This window comes from Homo sapiens, chromosome X (genome assembly GCF_000001405.40).
Source record: "Homo sapiens chromosome X, GRCh38.p14 Primary Assembly".
Taxonomy (NCBI): domain Eukaryota; kingdom Metazoa; phylum Chordata; class Mammalia; order Primates; family Hominidae; genus Homo; species Homo sapiens.
Window position 1 is genome coordinate 97,510,828 of NC_000023.11, and position 19,867 is coordinate 97,530,694.

Here is a 19,867-nt window from a genome sequence, read left to right on the forward strand (position 1 = left end):
GGCGTTATTTCTGAGGGCTCTGTTCTGTTCCATTGGTCTATATCTCTGTTTTGGTACCAGTACCATGCTGTTTTGGTTACTGTAGCCTTGTAGTATAGTTTGAAGTCAGGTAGCGTGATGCCTCCAGCTTTGTTCTTTTGGCTTAGGATTGTCTTGGCAATGTGGGCTCTTTTTTGGTTCCATATGAACTTTAAAGTAGTTTTTTCCAATTCTGTGAAGAAAGTCATTGGTAGCTTGATGGGGATGGCATTGAATCTATAAATTACCTTGGGAAGTATGGCCATTTTCACGGTATTGATTCTTCCTACCCATGAGCATGGAATGTTCTTCCATTTGTTTGTATCCTCTTTTATTTCATTGAGCAGTGGTTTGTAGTTCTCCTTGAAGAGGTCCTTCACATCCCTTGTAAGTTGGATTCCTAGGTATTTTATTCTCTTTGAAGCAATTGTGAATGGGAGTTCACTCATGATTTGGCTCTCTGTTTGTCTGTTATTGGTGTATAAGAATGCTTGTGATTTTTGTACATTGATTTTGTATCCTGAGACTGCTGAAGTTGTTTATCAGCTTGAGGAGATTTTGTGCTGAGACAATGGGGTTTTCTAGATATACAATCATGTCATCTGCAAACAGGGACAACTTGACTTCCTCTTTTCCTAATTGAATACCCTTTATTTCCTTCTCCTGCCTAATTGCCCTGGCCAGAACTTCCAAGACTATGTTGAATAGGAGTGGTGAGAGAGGGCATCCCTGTCTTGTGCCAGTTTTCAAAGGGAATGCTTCCAGTTTTTGCCCATTTAGTATGATATTGGCTGTGGGTTTGTCATAGATAGCTCTTATTATTTTGAAATATGTCCCATCAATACCTAATTTATTGAGAGTTTTTAGCATGAAAGGTTGTTGAATTTTGTCAAAGGCCTTTTCTGCATCTATTGAGATAATCATGTGGTTTTTGTCTTTGACTCTGTTTATATGCTGGATTACATTTATTGATTTGCATATATTGAACCAGCCTTGCATCCCAGGGATGAAGCCCACTTGATCATGGTGGATAAGCTTTTTGATGTGCTGCTGGATTCGGTTTGCCAGTATTTTATTGAGGATTTTTGCATCAATGTTCATCAAGGATTTTGGTCTAAAATTCTCTTTTTTGGTTGTGTCTCTGCCAGGCTTTGGTATCAGGACGATGCTGGCCTCATAAAATCAGTTAGGGAGGATTCCCTCTTTTTCTATTGATTGGAATAGTTTCAGAAGGAATGGTACCAGTTCCTCCTTGTACCTCTGGTAGAATTCGGCTGTGAATCCATCTGGTCCTGGACTCTTTTTGGTTGGTAAGCTATTGATTATTGCCACAATTTCAGAGACTCTTATTGGTCTACTCAGAGATTCAACTTCTTCCTGGTTTAGTCTTGGGAGGGTGTATATGTCAAGGAATTTATCCATTTCTTCAAGATTTTCTAGTTTATTTGCGTAGAGGTGTTTGTAGTATTCTCTGATGGTAGTTTGTATTTCTGTGGGATCGGTGGTGATATCCCCTTTATCATTTTTTATTGCGTCTATTTGATTCTTCTCTCTTTTCTTCTTTATTAGTCTTGCTAGTGGTCTATCAATTTTGTTGATCCTTTTAAAAAACCAGCTCCTGGATTCATTAATTTTTTGAAGGGTTTTTGTGTCTCTATTTCCTTCAGTTCTGCTCTGATTTTAGTTATTTCTTGCCTTCTGCTAGCTTTTGAATGTGTTTGCTCTTGCTTTTCTAGTTCTTTTAATTGTGATGTTAGGGTGTCAATTTTGGATCTTTCCTGCTTTCTCTTGTGGGCATTTAGTGCTATAAATTTCCCTCTACACACTGCTTTGAATGTGTCCCAGAGATTCTGGTATGATGTGTCTTTGTTCTCGTTGGTTTCAAAGAACATCTTTATTTCTGCCTTCATTTCGTTATGTACCCAGTAGTCATTCAGGAGCAGGTTGTTCAGTTTCCATGTAGTTGAGCGGTTTTGAGTGAGATTCTTAATCCTGAGTTCTAGTTTGATTGCACTGTGGTCTGAGAGATAGTTTGTTATAATTTCTGTTCTTTTACATTTGCTGAGGAGGGCTTTACTTCCAAGTATGTGGTCAATTTTGGAATAGGTGTGGTGTGGTGCTGAAAAAAATGTATATTCTGTTGATTTGGGGTGGACAGTTCTGTAGATGTCTATTAGGTCTGCTTGGTGCAGAGCTGAGTTCAATTCCTGGGTATCCTTGTTGACTTTCTGTCTCGTTGATCTGTCTAATGTTGACAGTGGGGTGTTAAAGTCTCCCATTATTAATGTGTGGGATTCTAAGTCTCTTTGTAGGTCACTCAGGACTTGCTTTATGAATCTGGGTGCTCCTGTATTGGGTGCATATATATTTAGGATAGTTAGCTCTTCTTATTGAATTGATCCCTTTACCATTATGTAATGGCCTTCTTTGTCTCTTTTGATCTTTGTTGGTTTAAAGTCTGTTTTATCAGAGACTAGGATTGCAACCCCTGCCTTTTGTTGTTTTCCATTTGCTTGGTAGATCTTCCTCCATCCTTTTATTTTGAGCCTATGTGTGTCTCTGCATGTGAGATGGGTTTCCTGAATACAGCACACTGATGGGTCTTGACTCTTTATCCAATTTGCCAGTCTGTGTCTTTTAATTGGAGCATTTAGTCCATTTACATTTAAAGTTAATAGTGTTATGTGTGAATTTGATCCTCTCATTATGATGTTAGCTGGTTATTTTGCTCGTTAGTTGATGCAGTTTCTTCCTAGTCTCGATGGTCTTTACATTTTAGCATGATTTTGCAGCGGCTGGTACCGGTTGTTCCTTTCCATGTTTAGCGCTTCCTTCAGGAGCTCTTTTAGGGCAGGCCTGGTGGTGACAAAATCTCTCAGCATTTGCTTGTCTGTAAAGTATTTTATTTCTCCTTCACTTATGAAGCTTAGTTTGGCTGGATATGAAATTCTGGGTTGAAAATTCTTTTCTTTAAGAATGTTGAATATTGGCCCCCACTCTCTTCTGGCTTGTATGGTTTCTGCCGAGAGATCCGCTGTTAGTCTGATGGGCTTCCCTTTGAGGGTAACCCGACCTTTCTCTCTGGCTGCCCTTAACATTTTTTCCTTCATTTCAACTTTGGTGAATCTGACAATTATGTGTCTTGGAGTTGCTCTTCTCTAGGAGAATCTTTGTGGCGTTCTCTGTATTTCCTGAATCTGAACGTTGGCCTGCCTTGCTAGATTGGGGAAATTCTCCTGGATAATATCCTGCAGAGTGTTTTCCAACTTGGTTCCATTCTCCCCATCACTTTCAGGTACACCAATCAGACGTAGATTTGGTCTTTTCACATAGTCCCATATTTCTTGGAGGCTTTGCTCGTTTCTTTTTATTCTTTTTTCTCTAAACTTTCCTTCTCGCTTCATTTCATTCATTTCATCTTCCATTGCTGATACCCTTTCTTCCAGTTGATCGCATCGGCTCCTGAGGCTTCTGCATTCTTCACGTAGTTCTCGAGCCTTGGTTTTCAGCTCCATCAGCTCCTTTAAGCACTTCTCTGTATTGGTTTTTCTAGTTATACATTCTTCTAAATTTTTTTCAAAGTTTTCAACTTCTTTGCCTTTGGTTTGAATATCCTCCCGTAGCTCAGAGTAATTTGATCGTCTGAAGCCTTCTTCTCTCAGCTTGTCAAAGTCATTCTCCGTCCAGCTTTGTTCCGTTGCTGGTGAGGAGCTGCGTTCCTTTGGAGGAGGAGAGGCGCTCTGATTTTTAGAGTTTCCAGTTTTTCTGCTCTGTTTTTTCCCCATCTTTGTGGTTTTATCTACTTTTGGTCTTTGATGATGGTGATGTACAGATGGGTTTTTGGTGTGGATGTCCTTTCTGTTTGTTAGTTTTCCTTCTAACAGACAGGACCCTCAGCTGCAGGTCTGTTGGAGTACCCTGCAGTGTGTGGTGTCAGTGTGCCCCTGCTGGAGGGTGCCTCCCAGTTAGGCTGCTCGGGGGTCAGAGGTCAGGGACCCACTTGAGGAGGCAGCCTGCCCGTTCTCAGATCTCCAGCTGCATGTTGGGAGAACCACTGCTCTCTTCAAAGCTGTCAGACAGGGACATTTAAGTCTGCAGAGGTTACTGCTGTCTTTTTGTTTGTCTGTGCCCTGCCCCCAGAGGTGGAGCCTACAGAGGCAGGCAGGCCTCCTTGAGCTGTGGTGGGCTCCACCCAGTTCGAGCTTCCTGGCTGCTTTGTTTACCTAAGCAAGCCTGGGCAATGGTGGGCGCCCCTCCCCCAGCCTCGCTGCTGCCTTGCAGTTTGATCTCAGACTGCTGTGCTAGCAATCAGCGAGATTCCGTGGGCGTAGGACCCTCCGAGCCAGGTGCGGGATATAATCTCGTGGTGCACCGTTTTTTAAGCCCGTCGGAAAAGCGCAGTATTCGGGTGGGAGTGATCCGATTTTCCAGGTGCCGTCCGTCACCCCTTTCTTTGACCAGGAAAGGGAACTCCCTGACCCCTTGCGCTTCCTGAGTGAGGCAATGCCTCGCCCTGCTTCGGCTTGCGCACGGTGCGCGCACCCACTGTCCTGCGCCCACTGTCTGGCACTCCCTAGTGAGATGAACCCGGTACCTCAGATGGAAATGCAGAAATCACCTGTCTTCTGCGTCGCTCACGCTGGGAGCTGTAGACCAGAGCTGTTCCTATTCAGCCATCTTGGCTCAGGAACCCAAACCTGTGTATTCTTATGCTTAGGTTTGATGAAGAAGTGGAGGGTAGTGGAGAAATATGACTGGACAAAGGGGATATGATCTAATAATAATAAAGTGTGGGGGACTTAACAAGGCCTGTGTTTTCTGATTCTTTTCTGTGTCCTTGTATCTTCAGAGATAAGGATGTTCCTTTCCTCTGAATGTGGGGTTTGGGGGTACCTCTGGAATGAAGGTTTTATGGCCTGCTTCAAGAGAGAAGGGCAAGGGGAAGGTGAGAGTGACCTTGCTTCTGCTATTTTATCAAATGCCAAGGTGACATACTGTTGGTAGCGGGTCTTGAACCCCATCAGTAGCAAAACAAGGGACTTCTCACTCTGAAAAGCTGGTAGATTAGTGAATTCTACATCTGAAGGATTATACTCATAATAATAAACATATAAAATAAGCCATAAGGCCGGGCACCGTGGCTCATGCCTGTAATCCTAGCACACCGGGAGGCGGAGGCGGGCGGATCATGAGGTCAGGAGTTCGAGATCAGCCTGGCCAGTATGGTGAAACCCCATCTCTACTAAAAATACAAAAATTAGCTGGGTGTGGTGGCACACGCCTACTGTAGTCCCAGCTACTCAAGAGGCTGAGGCAGGAGAATCGCTGGAACCCGGAAGGTGGAGGTTGCAGTGAGCCGAGATCGCGCCACTGCATTCCAGCCTCAGCGACAGAGCGAGACACCATCTCAAAAAAAATAATAAATAAAAAAAAAGCCATAAGGCCATGAATGTACTCCATCAATAGGTATTTACTGAAGAAATACTATGTGCTTAGTACTGTGGGAAATATAAATGTAGAAAGCTTGCTCTGTTTACTTGGGTAATCAAGACTTATAAAAAATAAAAGAATTATATGCAAAAACAAATATGTACCAAAATGATGTTCTATAGGTTTCATATATCCTAGAATTTTCAAAATAATCAAAATTCATTATCACATCACATGTTTACATTTTTAGTGCAAAAAATAGGCTCTGTGGCAATAGGACCTCAGAGAAGGACAAGATCACTATAGTTTGTGATACTCCAAAAAGTCTTCACAGAGGAGGCAACGCAGCTTGTTTATCCTACAGATATTGTGTCATCTCTTTTCAGATAATTGTCTGATTATACCTGTGGCTATTTCCCCCTGAATTTCTTACTAGTTGGTTTTTGGTTTTGTTTCTGTTTTTCAGGATAAGGTCTTGCTCTGTTGTCCAGGCTGGAGGGCAGTGGTGCAGTCATGGTTCACTGCAACCTTGGCTCAAGTGATCCTCCTGCCTCAGCCTCCTGAGTAGCTGGGACTACAGGCATGCGCCACTGTATCTGGCCTGTTTTTTTCTTTTATCTTCTTTTTTACTCATTCATAATAATGCAGAATTAGAAGCAATCCCATGTCTTTGTTTTATCTTTATCGAGGTATAATTGGCAAATTATGTATATTCAAGGTGTACAGCATGATATTTTTATATGCATATACATTGTGGAATGATTTCTACAATCAAGCTAATTAACCTGTCACCTCACATAGTGATGGAGTCCATAGTGATGGACCTCACAGGTTTTTTTCGAGTTAATTTTTGCATTGCTTCAACACTGCTTCTACCAGAGTCCCCATTCAAACACATATCACTATGGTAGTTCACAGTAACATGGAAGAAATCATTACAGAGCATTTGAACTGGATAATTTTATTTATTCATTGTGGTCAGACAGCAAGTCTAATTCTGTTGTCATTTTTATACAGGTGATGGTTTAAGAAAAAAAATTATTTACAGACCTCAACAGCCTATCTCGATTTCTGTATTTTTCTTATCAATGAAATAATAAAGATGAGCGCTTCAAACTATGCCTCTCACAACTTTCACAAAGCATGGCAATAATCTATAATTTATGTCACTCTCACCTGTAAGGCTGAGAATCATTGACAGAACCTAAAGGGAGGGAAAAAAGTCATCTTTCTAGATAAAGTGATGATAGTTTTTCCCAGCTTTTAAAAAAATATATGCAAGGAATTTGTGGTGAAATACAATAGCATTTTAATAAATTGTTATTAACTTGTATTACTAATAAAAATTTAAGCCTATTGATCTCACCTGAGAAGCTTAAAACATTGACCAGCTAAGGCTTTAGTCACACATATTCTTAGAGTTTCTGAGAAACCAATAGCTTTTATGATTTTAAAAAATCTATTTACAAACATCATCTTCACATTCCTCTAGCCCTGCTTTTTTTAAAGGAAACCCTACAGGCAAAAATGCAATTTTTCCAAAGTTGGACATATGGCTGATGTCAGAACCAGCAAAATCATGTTATACAAAGCCAAACGCTGAGTTAAACCTCCCAATGCTGATGTTCATCAGACCCCAGAATAGGTGTCTGTTACAGGATGAGCAAGATGTTAGTCATAGAAGTAGAACTCTGTGGAGATATAACTACTCACCTGCAAAATCAGGTGGCTCTGAAAATGAATAGCACTGTAGCGTTGGGCCAATTCCTGCTGCCCTTGGCACTGGGAATGCAATCTTGTATGGCAAATCAAATGAGCAGAAGGCTTGGGGCCAGAATACTATCAAGCTCTTCTCAAACTTTAAATGGATGAGAAGTCCTGCTCACTGCCATGGAACATGGCATGGATTTTAAGTGCCTAGTAGGCCATTTTATTTTGTTCTGTTCTTTCTTATTTTTGGTAAGCAGAGCTGGCAGTATGAGATAAACTTACATAAACAGTGAGTTCTTGATTTTTATATTTCTCATATAGATCCAAAATCAGCAGCTTCATTTACACGTAGCTGTAAAACTAGAGGAGATAAAGTAATAGCGTAGGATTATGTTGAAAAATCAGGATGGGGAAGAATCCCCAGAAGAGCTTGACATTTTATTAATCCCTACTGAAAAACATGTTCCAAAATTTTTAAAAATGTCCTTCTAATAGCATATATATATGTATGTATGTGTGTGTATGTGTGTATATATATATATGTGTGTGTATATATATGTTTGTGTGTGTATATATATATGTGTGTATATATATATATAGTTTTTTCCATCTAGTTTTCTCTCAGTAGTGTCTATTTAATCTAGAAAGCTTCTCAAGCCATGAACTTCTCTATGGATTAGATTCTGTGTATTAGAGCGCAAGTGAGTATAGCTTTAGTCCTTGAATGAGCAGGGAAACTCCTCAATGAGAAAATATGGGATTTTCCAAGAAATTCCTCCAGGGCCCTTCCTATTCTTAATCTTTTCTCTGTAGCTGAGGATAATAGCTGCATACCTTCTAGCTCCCCCAATTCTAGAAACAAGAATAATAAAGCCTTGACAATCCATGAGAAGACTTTAATCTGCCCTCAGGATTCCCGATTCCAGCTCAGTTTCTAATGTTCCTGGATGGTGACTCATATCTCAAAGGCAATTTTGGATTTAAAATGGTTTTCCAAATCTACATAAAGAATTTCTGGATTGTTTGCTGTTTTAAATTAGCCAAACCACCCTTTCTCTCTAACAGCCTGTATAATTGAGAGTTGGCTATACATTGTTTGATACCTGTAAAAAGTAATTGAACATTCTGAATAGTGTATTTTGATGACTGCAATTTCAGGTGCCCAAGCTTGACCAGGTTGCTTCGTTTTTGCTCACAGTGGTATTCAGATATGCCCCTATTTAAACAACCCAATAAATGAAAATAATATTTTACAAGATTGATAAATGAAGGTGATTTTTTTCCCCTCAGAGATCTCTTACTTTTAAAAGAGATTCATTGTATTGTTAGTCATGTCCTCCGTTGCATTGAAAACATCTGTTTCAAAAAAAATTCACATTTATGGGTTATTTTCCTCAAATTATTATTTTCCTCATATTGTAAGTCACCTGGATCTACAAAAATAGGCTAAAAGACAGTTATTACCACGTGTCATATTCACCAGTTCTCTCTTTTCTTTAAAAATGCTTAGATGTCTTTAAAATGGTTTTTAAGTGTTTAAAGGAATAGTAGTCCATGCATAGCCCTCAGTATACCTAAGAAGATGAAGTATACTTGTGACTCTGATTGATAAGAATGCCTGTAATTTTCAACAGAGGTTACTGTTTCAGTGGTGGCCCAGATATCCATCTGTCAGTCTTTGTCAAATAGCTTATTTGTTATTTTTCTGTAGTCTCTTAAACTGTTATTTTTTATTTATTTTTATTTTTTATTTTTATTTTTTTTGAGATGGAGTCTCACTCTGTCACCCAGGCTGGAGTGCAGTGGCGCGATCTCGGCTCACCTCCTCCCCCCAGGGTCAAGCGATTCTCCTGCCTCAGCCTCCCGAGTAGCTGGCATTACAGGCGCGCTGTAATTTTTGTACTTTTAGTAGAGACGGGTTTTCACCATCTTGGCCAGGCTGGTCTTGAACTCCTGACCTCATGATCCACCCGCCTCGGCCTCCCAAAGTGCTGGGATTACAGGCGTGAGCCACAGCGTCTGGCCCCTTAAACTGTTTTTGTTCTTTCCATACATTCATTCCCTACCCCCCTGCTTTTTCCCAATGTTCCATTCTAAAAGTGAATAAAAAAATTCACCTACCAAATCTGGATAACAAGAATGTTATTTCATTTTACTTTAATCTTTGCTATTCTTAGACCTTCTTTTCTTCTTCATCTTTTCCAATTGAAATAAAAAAGATTTTTGATGTATGTACAGGCTATGTTTTTTTAAAAGAACTGTTAAAATTGTGCAACTTCAAAGCGTTTCCAAATGTTGCATTTTCAAAAATGTTTTATCATATTTTTCTTTAAATTTCCTGTTGCTGTGTAGTCTCAATGATGGCTGAAGGCACTGAATTTTACATTCTATATTGCTTTTTGTGTTCCACATCTAGTTAGTAGTTATAACTTCTCCCACACAATAACAGTGCTTTTGTGGAAATAATTACTCAAAGATGATTTATTTCTAATGATTTTTTCATATCATGATTTTAAAATATCTTCTAATTTCCACTTACATAAATGTTTTCCTTCTCTATTTAGATAGAACACAGATACATGTTGATTACATCCTAATCTATCCTTCATCTACTTCCCAGAAAGATTTCAGGTGGTTTTTGCAACAAAGGCCCATTAAAGTTAAATTAAAAGTTAGAGGGAAACTTTTACACAATTATTCCAAATATGTAAATTAAGGCTAGTTACTATTATTGAGCATTAAATTTAGCTCTGAGCTTACTGGAAGCCAATACAGAAAAGAAAACATGTTATGTTTTATAATTCTTATTATCTGACGAAACACAGACAGTTTAAAATGGAAGACGAAGTACAACATTGTCTTTGGTAATAGTTTTAGAGATGATCCAAGAACGTTCTTCATGATCACTTGTTTCATCAACGAACCACTTTCATACTGCCTTTGTGTTCATTTATGAAACACAATTAAATATTGCTGTTTTGGTCTAAATGTGTCTCCCCAGAATTTGTATGTTGAAGTCTACCCTCCATTGTGATTGTATTAGAAGGTGGGGCCTTTGGGAGTTGATTAGGTCATGAAGGCTCTGCCCTCATGAATGGAATTAGTGCCCTTACAGAAGAGGCCTGAGGGAGCTTGTTTGCCCCTTCCACCATGTGAGGGCACAGTGAGAAGGTGCAGTCTATGAGGAAGCAGTCCCTCACCAGACACTGCTGGCACCATGATATTATTAGACGTCCCAGCTGCCAGAACTGTGAGAAATAAATTTCCGTTGTTTACAAGTTACCCAGTCTATGGTATTTTGTTATAGCATTCCAAATGAACTAGACAATTGCATTTATGGAATACAATTTGCAACACATTGTACAAAATGATGTATATTCTGGAATGAGTCCTCTTCCCACTCCTTACTCCCCTTTCCTTACATACACATTCCTTGCCTTTCCTCACCCCCAACAATAGTTCTGGGACAGGAAGATTTTCATTTACTTCTAAGGAGGTATAAAATCTTGATATGGTTTGGCTGCCCACATCTCATCTTGATTTGTAGTTCCCATAATCTCCATGTGTGGTGGGAGGGACCCAGTGGGAGGTAATTGAATCATGGCGGTGGTTTCCTCCATGCTATTCTCAGGATAGTATGTTCTCAGGAGATCTGATGGTTTTATAAGAGGCTTCCCCCTTGGCTCTGTTCTCATTCTCTCTCCTGCTGCCCTTTGAAGAGGTGCCTTAGCCACAATTGTAAGTCTCCTGAGGCCTCCCCAGCCTTGGGGAACTGTGAATCAATTAAACCTCTTTTCTTTATAAATTACCCAGTCTTGGGTATTTCTTCAAAGCAGCATAGGAATGGACTAATACAAATCTTAATTCTTCTTGTAAACATTTATTGAACACCAACTTTGTGCATCTTTCTCTTTTCAAATTATAAATTATTTCAAATGTACAGAAAATGTTATCCCTAGAACTCTTACCAAACAGACTTTATAGAAGTTTGTGATTAGTAACTATCTGCCAATAGAAGTCATTTGCACATAGGTCCTAGAATCATAGAATTTTAAAGGTGAAAATGAGGTTAAAGAACATTCGCTAACTCCTTCCTTTTACATAAACATTAAGGACTTATATAGGTTCTTATACCTAGTTAGTAGAAAAGTTGATGACAGAACTTACGTCCTCTAGTACTTTTTCTACTATACCATAATATAGATTTGCTGGATTATATATACATTCAAACTGTGCTTCTATTCCTGTATGTGATAAACCCAAGCCTCGTGTGATCTTGTTACTCTCTATACAGAACTTACATCCTTGATTAGTATGTAGACTATCAGTTTGTTTATTTTTTTAAGAGATGGGGTCTCGCTATGTTGCCCAGCCTGGTCTCAAACTTCTGGACTCAAGCAGTCTGCCTGCCTGGTCCTCCCACAGTGCTGGGATTATAAGCGTGAGCCACCACACATCTGGCCCAGACTTTCAAGTTTCATAGTGAAAGTGTCTGGCAGATTAATGAGTTGTTGATGCATTCAGTCAAGAAATACTTCTGAACTATGAGGTTCATAATTTGAGGTTTATCTGGTTAAAATCATGACTGCTTTCATTAGTGCTTTAATTAGTTGAATTCTGTATTTCAGAGAGGCAAAACTAGGAACTGCATTTTACTGATAAAATTGAGTTATACTATGCCTTTTAGGCAAATGGAACCCTCATTTTTTTTTGTCCTTATGGTCATTATTAATATTTTGTTTGTTCTTATTTTTGCTTGGAGAAGGAGAACTATCATTGCATTACTGCAAACAGTATATTTATTTACCTCCTGCCCATGAACACTTCTTTCCCTATTTGGAGAAATAAGATACTGTTTGTTCACAGACCTCCCTAGTGGTCTGTCTGTTAAGCAGCGGCAGTCCTGAACTAAGGGCACAAGAAAATGGAGCTGGTAATCACAAGCAAATAATGCAAGACTTTTAACACTTTACATGACAGATTCAGGTGGGGCTTGCCTACTTTATTATCCAAGGTGTTGCTATTTCCTTTCATGCCTTTGGAGATCCCAGAAGAAGGGGAGCTAGCTGAGTCAAACCTCTGTCTCACAGGGCTTTCATGAACAATGACAATTCATTTCAGCCTAGAGGCAAAGAGGGTGCCTTTTCTTACGAGACTTTTGTTCTTATTGCCTGGTGAATTTTTAAATCAAATTGGTGGAAAATTGGAATGTTTTCCTCTCTTTTGTCCTTTTGCATCTCCATACCTCCCTCCCTCCCAGTATTTTTGAGACCAGATAGAAGCAGATAGACTCATGGGGGATTCCTTTGTCCCTAACTCCTATCTAGAGTACTTCCTTTTCCTAATATATATAGAAATGATTTGAAAGAATTCTAACTAACCTCAGATATGGAGATAATGACCACGATTAAATGGACTGAACATCTCATTCTTATCAATTCCAATTCATAATCCTATTTTATTTAAGTGGTTATCTTTGTCCTTTGGAATTCCAATCAGCCAAAGGATGCCAGTACTGTTAATAATACCGTATGCCAAGGGAAATTATTTCCTCTGCTTCCACGACTACCAGGGTTCACTTTGTGGAAGCTGTGTGATAACATAATCCCTCTTACCCACCACCTCTTTTGGGCAATATTTGAAAAATGAAAAAGGGAAAAGAGCTGGGGGAGAAATCATTCAAGTAAATTTACGATAGTTTCAAAACCAGATTTGCTCATTAAAAATAGTACTTGAAATAGATAGCAGCTGTGGTTTCCATTTTGTAATTTTTTTATGATCTATTTCATTTCTGTTTTCTAAGCTACTTAAAACTGTTGTAAGCTATTGATAATATAATTTTCCCCAAATTATTTGGCTCCTCATTTCATTTTCCCTGCTGTGTTTTATAAAATTTCATATCAGAAATAAGAATTAACTAGATATTTTTGAAATCATGAGTAATTTTTATTCACTGTAGAATTAGATTTCTTTTAAGAAAAAGAAAGCTAGTACAGTAAAAATCAGCATTTCAGATGTGGGTGGCAAGAATTAACTAGATTTTAGAGTAAACCGTAGAATAGTACCCTCCTCTTTGCTCCTTACCATACTTTGTTTTCTGAGCATTTATCACCACCCGTCATGTATTTATTTGTTCATCATTTGTCTTCTGCTCCCCACTGAAATGTAACCTCCATGAGAGAAGATGCTTTAACTCCTCTAGTTACCCAAAGACTCTCCAGTGCCTAGAACAGTGTTTGGCAAATATTTATAGTAGTTGCTCAATATTTGTTGTATTAGTGATTAGCCTGCATGAGCTATCTGGCTTGCCCATTTCAAGTGCTGTGATGAATATTCTATGCCGGAGAAATCATCCTCCAGACTGGATCGTTACCATTATCTTCATTTGGCATTTTATTACCAACAAGATAGTACCCCAGGTACCATAGTAAAAATGACTTAAGTGCTTTCCATGTCCATGTGCCTTTATATTTTACTTAACAACATATATTCTTCACATTGACATACATTCATTCAGTAAATATTTGTTGAAAACTTACAATGAGTCAGACACTTACTTGCCCAGAAATAGAGGCATAGATAAGATATTGCACCTTTACTGTAACTCTACTAGAACACAACCCTAGAAAAAATTCAGAATCTGTCATCTCCATAGTTGTGGATTTCTCTACAAAGTTGAAATTTATTGTTGTTTTTGTGACAACAACATACGTTTCCTGATTTTTCTGATACCTTTTGATTCATCCTCATCATTGATGTTTCTTTTTCTCCTTGTACATTAAATGCTTTTGTTCACCAAGGTTCAACCCTCACACTCTACACAAGAATCTTTCTGTGTGATTTCACCCACTCTCATATTTTTAACTGTCTATATGCAAATCATTTCTAACTCCGTAGCTATAGCCTACAGTTCTTCCTGGAACTTAAGGCTTGCATAATGAAATGCCTGCTGGACAATTCTACCTAGATGTTCAATAGGCACCTTCAGTTCATGTCAAAATCTTAACTCTGCTTTTTCTTCTAAAATCTATTCCGTTTTTGATTCTTTGTAGGCGGCACCACCATCCAGCTACTCACTCTAGCAGGGAACTGGGTGTGAACCTTGATTCTTCCTTCTCTATAAATCTCCACATCTCACAATCTCTGTATCCTGCCCGTTTTCCTTCCTAAATATTTCTTGAATGTGTCACCTCTGTGGCTTCCTAACTACCATTGTCCTATTCCCATGTTTTACCAACTGTTGCTGAGACAACTGCAGCAATCTTCTAAATGGCATTCCAGCTTCCAGTCTTGTCCCCCTTCAAATCCCTGCATTCTTTTATAATTTTGCCCACTGTGTCCCCCTGCCTGGACTGCCCTCCCTTGTTCTTTTCATTGGATGAACTCCTGCTCATCCTTTTAAAACTCAATTCGGCCCCATCACCGGGGGGCTATGAATATACTTTCTCAGTTCTTGCATGGTGCTTTCAGCATGTTGTTCCCACTGAATTCCCACACTGCTTTGTCTTTGTTTCTTTACCTGCCTGTCTTTCCTATTAGATAGTGAGCTCATTGGGAGCATGTCTTATTTATCTTTGTAGATCCGGCATTAAGCATGTCATTGGGAACTTAATAGGCCCTTCAGACATTTTTGAATAAATGAGTAGATGAATGAACAAAAGAACAAACAGCAAACAAAGGGTAGCCTTGAGGTACAGTATAAGTATATCAAAGAATACAATATTCTTTTACTTTAGATATCAACCTTATAATTTATTAGGAGAAATAAAAACACAAAAGGGCAGTAATATACCAGCCCACATGTAGTCTCATATTCCAGTACAGTTTTATCTGACTTTGCCTTTTTGATACTGATGACACAGGGAGCATCTGGGGCTAGATAAACTGCTCATGCTCTGAACTATATGTTGAATATTTTGATAGAAACTCTTTTTGCCTGTGGCTTATTTGTCATATGCCGCTTGAGTGTGAACTTAATTTGCATGACTGCAATAAATGAAAAGTGTTTCTTATTTCCTACTTTGAGTACATAAATTTGACCTTGATCAATGTCAGCAAACCAGGCCTCTGGCAACCACTTCACAATTTTGACTATCCAGAGAAGTTCATCATCATCTTTAGACAACTTTACCCTGGAATGGCAGGTTTAGTTAGTATCAGTGGAGTCTTGTCAGACGTGTTTCCTAACAAAAATGACCTCAAGCAGGAGTGTGTGGTTTTCTCTGAGAAAGCTTTTCTTCCCCTGAGCAGATCATAGCCTCCACAAATGTCTTTGAAACAGGCATGCAAAGATTGCTCTATACAGAAGATTGTGACACCGAACATGAGGTTGCTTCGAATGGTTATCCTAAAGTGACCTGCCAAACTGAAGGGCAAAAATGCCACTGCTCTTGAAGTCTTAAAATAGTATCTCTTCTTGTTGAATCCATGGGAATAGAAAAAAGAAATTGTGGTCAGGCCATATGAGAAGGAATGCCAAAAAAAAAAAAAAAAGTCACCAAATCCATTTAGCACTTGGTAACAAAAGGTAAGAATAGACATTGAATACTGTACTATTTTTAGTATCCATTCCAGCATAGTGCTAAGTATGTCTTGCCTCCAAAGTGTGTTACTCCTTCTACCTTCTCCATCTCTAACAGTAATAAGCCCAGTCACCTAAGTTCAAACTCTGAGTCAACTTTGACTCAAGCTTCTCATTGATTCCCTAGAACCATTGGTTACCAATTTAGATTTCATTATCTCTTGAAACTGTTGTACCTCCAAGTACTCTAAAATTCTCTTATTTGAACATGTCCACTTCCTTCCACCTTTCCTAGTCCACACCCACTCTGCTTCTGCTTTTCCGTTTGGTATTCTACAAGCCTTTTTCCCATTCAACTTTTCCATCTATCTCATTTCTGTCCCTACCCAACTATGACTCTGCTGTCCAACATGTCAGTACGTACTCAAAAGCACTCCTCATTCATTCTCTACCCAATTCTCAGCTGCTCCTAGCCCCAACCCTGCAAATAACCATTGTCCATTTTCTCCTCTACTGTTCCCGGACTAATTAATGCTGGTAGGCAACGACATATAATAGTAGCATGTTGATCAGGCCCACTGCAAGCGAAAGAAAAATTCTAAATTCATTAGTTAGAATTTTGAAAACAAAACATCTGTCCTAATACATCTACTTGGTTCTGAAAAACTGTGATTACTGTAGTTATTGAGAGGTTTCTGTAACCCAAATACTTAACTGGGTCGTACATGAAAATTATTTTTAAGATTAAAAGTAGAGCATATATTGTACTGACAGAATTTTCTTTAGGATTTACATGAGTCTAATCTGATAGAATGGAGGAATGTAATTGAAAACTAGGAAGAGAAATCTAGGCATGGAACTTCATCATCCAAACATTTTTTTCCCTGATTAAAAGCAACATATCAGCGTGTGTTTTTCAAATACAGGCAGTCCCTATCTTACAAATGGCTGTAGACAGATGTAGGGCATATTATTGTTTGAATCCTGATTACCCAAGTGGGAAAACTTTGCTTTAGATGTCAGTTGTTTGGAATCCAGAAAGCATTTTCCTACCAAGGCAGTGTTATAAATGGTGGTTGGGCTCCCCTAGGATAGCCAATAATGTTACTGAAATACTATACATTTGCAGTGAAACAGTAGTGAACACATTTATCATATACTACTAATTAAACAAAAGCAATAACGTTGAATAAGATCATTTTATATTTTGGGCTTCAATGGTGGTGCTTGAGGAAAAACAGGTTTAATTATAAGAGGATGAAAAAGTAGATGGAGACTGTGTGAAATCTCAAAATAGGGCTCATGAGCATTTTTGAAGACTTCAAATGACACGTGTTCTTTATCAAGTCTAACTGATTTTAAAACTTGTGAACTTTTACTTCCCTTTTTGTGGTTCTAAGTGTTTTGTAGTACAACTGTTGTGCTATGATTCTGGTCAGTTTTTGACTAGTGATGAAAATAAAACAAGGGAAGAGGATAAAGGAAGAGGATATGGTGCCAGAGGAAAATTTTGAGAAGAGGGGGCTTATATGCAAATATGAGGATTAAAAAAACAACTTTATACTTTAGCACCACAAGCATTCCACAAGCACCAGCAACCAAAGGAAAAGGAGTTCTTTCTTGCTTAGTTCTTAGGCCATCCTATATAAATGTCCTAAATAGAGATAAAAGTTGCAATAAGTTAAAGAGGCTAAGTTGAGCCACACTATAAGGAGATGATATGTAAACCGCAAAGCTTGCATGAGCTGAGGTAGGAAGAGAGTTATTTATTTGCTTTTGTTGTTGTTATTTGTTTTTTTGTCTTCAGTTGTGTCTTAATCTGTTTAGTGTTGCTATAAAGGAATACCTGAGGCTGGGTAATTTATAACGAAAGGAGATTTATTTGGTTTACGGTTCTGCAGACTGCACAGGAAGCACAGTGCCAGCGTCTGCTTCTGGTGAGGGCTTTAGGTTAATTCCATTTATGGCAGAAGGAGAAGGGGAGCTGGCATGTGCAGAGACCAAATGACAAGAAAGAGAGAGGGAAGGGAGCTTACAGGTTTTTGTTTTTGTTTTTAAACAACCAGCTTTCTCAGGAACTAATGGAGCAAGAACTCACTCATTACCACAAGGAGGACATCAAGTCATTCATGAGGGATCCACCTCCATGACCCAAATTCCTCCCATCGGGCCCCACTTCCAACATTGGGGATCAAATTTCAACATGAGGTTTGGGGGATAAACATTCGAACTATGGAAAGTTGTATGGACTATATCTTGGAAGACGGAAGGATATGTTGGAAGTGTGCTACCTTCTAAGTGTCAAAGGTTGAGTCAGAGAAACATAGAGAAAAAAAGGCCAAGGTGGGCAGATCACAAGGTCAGGAGACCAGCTTGGCCAACATGGTGAAACCCCATCTCTACAAAAATATATATATATATGCTGGACATGGTGGCACGTGTCTGTAATCTCAGCTACTCAGGAGACTGAGGCAGGATAATCGCTTGAATCCGGGAGGCGGAGGTTGCAGTGAGCTGAGATGGCGCCACTGCACTCCAGCCTGGGTGAAAGAGCAAGACACTGTATCAAAAAAAAAAAAAGATTTTAGTTCTGTTGCACATTATAAATGGAATCCTCCTTTGATATCCTTGGAAAGGATTTGGTAACTACTTATATTGTTTTTCAGTCATGTTTTGTATTCACATTCATTTTTACTTGGATATGACTCTGTACTGGTAGGGAACTATGAGGCAACTTGGCTTTATTCAAGTTATATAGGTGTGATAGATTTCCCAAGATCACATTAATTGAGCTGTCAGTGGGGGACAAAAGAGTATGATTACTCTAAAGAGGAAGAATAGAGGAGGTAGAAGAAGACAGATATAGAGCCACATAGTTAATTCTCTTTGCTGTTTACCAGCTGATGAACCAACAATTATTCAACAATTTTTTACTGTGCTGTGTTCTAGGCAATGTGCTAAGTGCTTAGAGATGCAGTGGCAAAGTACTTGGAATACAGTAGTACACATGATATTACATCTGCCCTCATATGTTTTACAGATAAGGGGACGGTACAGATAAGTAGATAAGGAATTATAATGAATTATGTTAAGTGCTAATGTGGAGGTACTGTTGGGTATTAAGGGCATATATAGAAAAATCACCTAAATCTGACTTTCAGAATTAGCACACATCCTAGAGCATTCTAAACTGATATAGAAAGATGTGTCAGAGTGAAACAGGAAAACAGAAGTTAGGCAAGAGGCAAATATTCCTGAAAGAAGAAATAATGTTTAAGATTCAATCATACAACAAGAAGCCTAGAGAGAGTACTGGGAAAAAAAAATAGCCAAAGAGAGATTTCTACTTCTGAAAATTGTATAGTAACTTGTGGCAGAACAATGCTCTGCCAAGAATATCTACATAAGCCAGATAACAGACAAAAAGTCTGTTTGAAGGCATTGGAAAGTAGCCAAGACAGCCAGGGCTTGAGAAGTTAAAATCTCAAGCAAGGAAAACTACAGAGAAATGAGGCATATTTCCTTTTGGGGCATTTGCCAATTCTTACAGCATGATACAGAGAAGTCACCAGAAGTTCCAGCTATCTTATAGGCTTAGAGAGAGAGGAAAACATTGAGGGCTGTCAAGGCAGTCAGTACTGAAGGGGGCCAAAATCCTGAAGAGAGTGGATGAGTAGAGAAATGAACTTGCACTCAGTAGTTTTAACCTCCAGGCATTTGCCAAATCCTTAAGCTGTTCATGGGATGAAAAAGCCTAACCCGTCAAGCAGTAAGTGACTGAAAAGCAGAGTGGAGCTTTCCCACTCATAGTATAAAAGAAATAGAAAATAATGTTCAGGGCCCTCCACAGAGGAGCAGCCCCAAGAAACACCCCAGCATTTCATTTGGGACTCTTAAAGAACCTACCCTTTAGGAATTGGTATGAACTAAATATAGACTGAACTTTTGAAAGACTGCAACTTCACCTATTTGTTCGTTGATTCCTTGATTAGATTAAGGTGATCTACCTCTACTCCAGCTGCCTATAAATGATAGAGAGAACCCTCTCTGGAGGAAAATATCATCTAGTGGCTCCAAGATTTCTGCAAACAAAATGTCTATATTTAATCATGCATTAATTGGCTTATGAAGAAACTGAACCAAGGGAAAAATCAGACAATAGAAATAGACCTACCAATGAGTCAGCTG

The 19,867-nt window shown here is 38.9% G+C and overlaps 1 protein-coding gene and 1 long non-coding RNA gene across 2 annotated transcripts in view; one reads left to right on the forward strand and one right to left on the reverse strand.

Moving 5' to 3' along the window:
- DIAPH2 (diaphanous related formin 2) overlaps positions 1-19,867 on the forward strand; it is a 920,156-nt gene that overhangs the window by 825,986 nt on the left and 74,303 nt on the right. The window lies entirely within an intron of this gene.
- The window catches only part of DIAPH2-AS1 (DIAPH2 antisense RNA 1), a 36,172-nt gene continuing 33,841 nt past the window's right edge, over positions 17,537-19,867 (reverse strand). Inside the window, exon 3 of the long non-coding RNA NR_125391.1 lies at positions 17,537-18,239. This is a non-coding gene — a long non-coding RNA (DIAPH2 antisense RNA 1). The remainder of the gene's footprint in view (positions 18,240-19,867) is intronic.